The following is a 6219-nucleotide window of genomic DNA, read 5'->3' on the forward strand; positions in this document are numbered from 1 at the left end:
CACTGCAGTCCAGCCTGAGTGACAGAGTGAGACTCCATCTCAAGTAAAAAAAAAAAAAAAAAGGAGTATGGTATTTTCCCAGGAATAAATTAAAAAATAAATGTACATTAAATTTTCAACTTTCAATTATATTCCACTACTCTAATATAGTAGCTATTTTTAGTTTTTGAAATCTTATCTTCCAGTCTTTATCTCTATAACCCAAAGGTCGGCCTCCTGGTGATCCTAAATTCTCCAGCTCTCTAGGGATATTTGTTTTGTTTGATTTTGTTTCCCCCCCTCTCTCTCCCAAGGCTCTCTCTTGCACTTCTGACTCATGGTGTTCTTAGAACATTCTCTTGGGCCATCTCTTCTCTTGAAGTCTCTAGCCTCCTGTCCTTTTGCCCACCTTTCTTTCTCTGATCTCACCCTTCATCTCCACCATCTTCTCCCCATTTCTGCCCACCTCTGCTTGCTCCAGGAAATTAAAAACGTGTCTGTCTTTATTTTGAAGAGCAATGCTGTGTTACTTATCTCACTCTAACCCAGGCCAGATTGCTACAATACTCTAGACTGCTACAAACATGAGGGTCTTTGAAGTATTCAGCACAATTAAGAGAGCTCACTTTCTGAGGATTTCTGCCTCTAGCTTTTCAAAGGAACAACACGTTTTTCTCCCTGCTCCATATGTATAAATCTCACATAATTGTAATCACAGTTTATGTACATACATATTTGTGCTCTACTCTTTTTCATTTGGTGTTGTTTCATAAGTAGTTTCCTCGTTGTGAATCTTATCTTGTAAAATTGTATAATTCTGGCTGGGCATGGTGCCACACACCTGTAATCCCAGCTACTTGGGAGGCTGAGGCAGGAGAATCGCTTGAACCTGGGAGGTGGAGGTTGCAGCAAGCCAAGATCATGCCACTGCACTTCAGCCTGGGCAAAAAAGTGAGACTCTGTCTCAAAAAAAAAAAATTGTATAATTCAGTCCTGTAAAGGTGACTTAATTCACTTAATCATTTCTCTAGTGTTGCGCATTTAAGATATTTCTACTTTTGTTGGGGAAAATTTGTTGTAAAATATTTTTAAACAACTAAAATCTCTTTCTATCAATTATGTTCTGCTGGGCGCGGTGGCTTACGCCTATAACCCCAGCACTTTGGGAGGCCGAGGCGGGCAGATCACTTGAGGTCAGGAATTGGAGACCAGCCTGGCCAACATGGTAAAGCCCCGTCTCTACTAAAAGCACAAAAATTAGCCAGGTGTGGTGGTGGGCACCTGTAATCCCAGCTACTCGGGAGGCTGAGGCAGGAGAATCCCTTGAACCTGGGAGACAGAGATTGCAGTGAACTGAGATCATGTCACTGCACTCCAGCCTGGGCGACAGAGCAAGACTCTGTCTCAAAAAATTTAAAAATATATATATTTTCTGAAAATAAACCCCCAAGAATATGCAGAATGGAGGGAGAGGGGCTACATTTTTATTGCCTTTAATATGTATTGTTAAATTTTACACAGTACAATTCTACCAATTTACAATGCCATTAGCAACTAATATTTCTCCATAGCCTCACTTGTGTTTAGTTTTCAAAAGTGTTTCAAATTTGTAGATGCAAAATTGCATCTTGTTAGTATTTCCATTTTCATGTATTTGATTACCAGTACTATTGAAAAGCTTACCACTTACTTAAATTTGTATTTTCTTTTCTGTATATTGTCTGTGTCCTTGTCTGTTTGTAATTGGCTTCTTGACACTTTTTTTTTTTTTTTTTGAGATGGAGTTTCACTCTGTCGCTCAGGTTGGAGTGCAGTAGTGCGATCTCGGCTCACTGCAAGCTCCGCCTCCCGGGTCTCCTGCCTCAGCCTCCTGAGTAGCTGGGACTACAGGCACCCGCCACCATGCCCTGCTAATTTTGTTTTTTGTATTTTTAGTAGAGATGGGGTTTCACCGTGTTAGCCAGGATGGTCTCAATCTCCTGACCTCGTGATCTGCCCTCCTCAGCCTCCCAAAGTGCTGGGATTACAGGTGTGAGCCACCGCGCCTGCCCAGCTTCTTGATACTCTTAATCATAAATTTAATAAGAGCATTTGCTGATTCTTTATCATATCTGCTGCAGCTATTTCCTCTAATCTCTTCCTTTCCGTATTTATAGATTTTGTATATACTCTTATTTTTTACCATGTCCTAGCAGCTCAATTTTTCCTGTATTATTTATTGGTTTATGCTAGAAGGTAGTAGAAAATAGTTAGAAATGTATGAATTCAAATTCTAACACTCTTATTCCTGCTCTGCCACTCTGGGTGACTGAGCAAATTACATAACCTCTCTAAGCCTTCTTCCCATCTGTAAAAACCTGATATCACTAATAATGGCACTGAGCACACAATGTCTTATAAGGATTAAATGAGATAATGCAGGCCGGGCGCGGTGGCTCACGCCTGTAATCCCAGCACTTTGGGAGGCTGAGGCGGGTGGATCACGAGGTCAGGAGATTGAGACCATCCTGGCTAACATGGTGAAACCTCGTCTCTACTAAAAATACAAAAAATTAGCTGGGCGTGGTGGTGGGCGCCTGTAATACCAGCTACTCAGGAGGCTGAGGCAGGAGAATGGCGTGAACCCGGGAGGAGGAGGTTGCAGTGAGCTGAGACTGCGCCACTGCACTCCAGCCTGGGCAACAGAGCGAGACTCTGTCTCAAAAAAAAAAAAAAAAAAAAGAGATAATGCATAAAGTGCACCTGGCACATAGCAACTCATAAAAGTAGTTACATCATTGTATTATTACTGTTATTCTTTTATTTGTTCAATAATTAGAAAAATGATTGTTTACCATAGCTGTGATAAATGACTGACTTGCTTTTTTACTGGTAGCTTTGTTTTTCATCTCCTTCATCCCTATGCAGCTCTGTTTTTTTTTTTTTTTTTTTTTTTTTTTTAGGAGTCTGGCTCTGTCTCTCTGTCTCCCAGGCTGGAGTGCAGTGGTATGATCTCGGCTCACTGCAACCTCCGCCTCCCAGGTTCAAGTGATTCTCATGCGCCACCACACCCAGCTAATCTTTGTATTTTCTGTAGAGACGGGGTTTCGCCATGATGGCCAAGCTGGTCTCAAACTCCTGACCTCAGGTGATCCACCCGCCTCAGCCTCCCAAAGTGCTGGGATTACAGGTGTGAGCCACTGGGATTACAGGAGGCAGCTGGCCTCCTATGCAGCTCATTTTGATGTATAATGGGTACATCTGAAGCAAGAGAGGGAGATGGAGTCCAAGCACCAGAGCTCACTCATCAGGGATTCTCATGGGGGCAGTTATGAGGGAAATGGGGAACATTCTCATGGGAGGAGAAAGGCTTATAAATTAAGCCGGAGAAGTTCATTAATAAATAGGCTGTCCACATTAACACCTGTCAATAAACAGGATTCGAAATGGCAGGTGAGGAGCTACAGAGGGTACTGCATCTGGAAACCTGGTGGGCAATGGCTCAGAGTCTGAGGGCTGAAATGAGGAAGTGCGGTATCAGCATGGAGCAAGCCAAGCCCACGGGAGCAGTGAAATGGGCCAATACTTAATCAGTATGCACCACAGTCTCACCATACAGTGAGACCCAGAAAGACATTTGTTCTGCTAGAATGCACATTTCTGTTATGGGAATCAGCTCACTGCAGAAGTAAAATTATAGCCATCATCAGGGAAGGAAGAAGCGCTCAGCTCAGCTGCTACACTAATTGCATGAGCCCTTTCAGCTGTATTTTAGGAAAATGGCAATGAGCACACACACCCAGGGCCCTTTTCCCCAGCTCTCAGCCAGGTTGCACTGCTTCCTGGATCCACCTGACTAGCACTCAGAGCCCACCACCATCTGCACTCTTTCAACACTTGCCAGACCAGCTCTAATTAAAGTGTTGCCAGCATGTTCCCACTCTATCACATTGAACATTTTAAATATCTACTGTGACAGTCTCCAGCCACACTGAGGCAGTCTGGGCAGTCCAAGTTATCTCCTTATGTGCAAACCACTATTTTTATTAGCATTCTGGTTACAGATTTCCACAGATTACGAGTGATCTGCCTCTAACCCTATTTTCCCCATAAGCCCTATTACTCTTACTGCTTGATTTTGCCGAACACAAGGTTCTTGAGGAATGCCTAAGTGTTGGGTGCTCCACGCACTGCCTTGGATCCTCTTGGCCACACCTCGATTCCTGCTATTATTTGAGGACACAATTCTATGCAGGCTTCAACTCACCTCCTGTGGCCCTGCCTCACCTCAAGCATGCGCTGTACATCTTCCCCTGACCCCGCAAGGTTCTCCGATGCTGTGGTGCGACGTGCCTGCGGGAGCACCCCGGCACTCGCTGATGTGAAACCTACAAGCGCAAGGGCGTTACAACCTTCAAGATGACCCTCTGTCAATGCTAGATGGGAGTTCATGGGGGAACACTTACAACTTCTGCCTTTCATCCATTGGGTGGTCAGTTTGAGGCACTATCTGTATACAACTCCTCAGAAGTTGCTGTTGGGATGGAAGCCCCCGTGCCCACTGCAGTCACCAATGTGACTGGCTTGGTTTTCCTTCTTCCCTGGTCAGTTTCCTTAGTCTCCACCCCTGCTCCCTGGTATCACCACTGTCCACAGTAAACTACACACACAGTTCCTTGTACCAGGCTTGTCTTCCCAGGGGAATAAGACAGCATGTGCTGCATTAAAATGGAAACACCTTTACTTACTTTTACGTACTGTTAATCAACAGTCACTGCCCAGTTCTTCCAAGTGGCCTTTATCATCCCTTCCCTGTAACTTCCTGGGTCCCCGTTTGAGACTCCCCCAAAGGAGTAATGTCACGCACAGCAGGAGGCTGCCAGCAGGGGGCTCCAACCCTACACCAACATCTGTTCTGAAGGTGCCTCAGCCGGACTAGTGATAAATGCTTTAGATTTCACCCTGGCAGTGAGATACAGGTAAAGATAAGTGCCTATTCAAGCCCTATGTTCCTTTTACTGGCGATTCATGTAAACCACACTCCTAATGAATTGAGGACTAATTTTTTTTTTGAAACAGGATCTCTCTGTTGCCCAGGCTGGAGTGCAGTGGCACAGTCATAGCTCACTGCAGCCTCAACCTTCCAGGCCCAGGTGATCCTCCTGCCTCAGCCTCCCAAAGGACTAAGATTACAGGCAGGCATCACCACGCCTGGCTAATTTTTTTTATTTTTCGAAGAAACAGGGTCTCACTATGTTGCCCAGGCTGGTCTCGAACTCCTGTACTCAAGCAATCCTCCTGCTTTGGCCTCCCAAAGTGCTGAGATTACAGGCCTGAGCCACTGAGCCCAGACACAACTGTTTTAAAAGGCAAGGTCAGTGGACTAGGTATTTGAACTATACATTCATGGCCAGACGCAGTGGCTCACTCCTGCAATCCTAGCACTTTGGGAGTCCGAGGCGGGCAGATCCCCTGAAGTCAGGAGTTTGAGACCAGCCTGGTCAACATGGTGAAACTCCGTCTCTACTAGAAATACAAAAATTAGCCAAGTGTGGTGGCACGTGCTTGTACTCCCAGCTACCTGGGAGGCTAAGGCAGGAGAATCACTAGAACCCAGGAGGTGGAGGCTGCAGTGGGACAAGATCACACCACTGAACTCCAGTCTGGGTGACAGAGCGAGACTCCATCTCAAAAAAATAAATCAAATCAAATCAAATGAACTATACATTCATTATGGATGACTCAAAAAGGTTGGGTAAATATTAAAAGTAATAAGAGACCTAGGAAGGAAATAAAGAATTATGAGGCCAAAGGCCGGGCGCCGTGGCTCACGCCTATAATCGCAGCACTTTCAGAGGCCGAGAAAGGCGGATCACGAGGTCAGAAGATTGAGACCATCCTGGCTAACACAGTGAAACCCTGTCTCTGCTAAAAATACAAAAAATTAGCCGGGCGTGGTGGCCGGCGCCTGTAGTCCCAGCTACTCGGGAGGCTGAGGCAGGAGAATGGCGTGAACCTGGAAGGCGGAGCTTGCAGTGAGCCGAGATGGCGCCACTGCACTCCAGCCTGGCGGACAGAGCGAGACTCCCGTCTCAAAAAAAAAAAAAAAAAAAAAAAAAGGCCGGGCGTGGTGGCTCACACCTGTAATCCCAGCACTTTGGGAGGCCGAGGCGGGCGGATCACGAGGTCAGGAGATTGACGCCATCCTGGCAAACATGGTGAAACCCCGTCTGTACTAAAAAATACAAAAAATTAGCAGGC

General features: G+C 45.6%; 1 annotated feature.

Annotated features, from left to right (window-relative positions):
• Nucleotides 4887-4976: a silencer, noted in NCBI's record as "silent region_2660". NCBI's record gives its function as "represses an Ori minimal core promoter by ATAC-STARR-seq in GM12878 lymphoblastoid cells {active_cell/tissue: GM12878}" and the evidence as "EXISTENCE:reporter gene assay evidence [ECO:0000049][PMID:35858748]".

This window comes from Homo sapiens, chromosome 10, assembly GCF_000001405.40.
Source record: "Homo sapiens chromosome 10, GRCh38.p14 Primary Assembly".
NCBI lineage: Eukaryota > Metazoa > Chordata > Mammalia > Primates > Hominidae > Homo > Homo sapiens.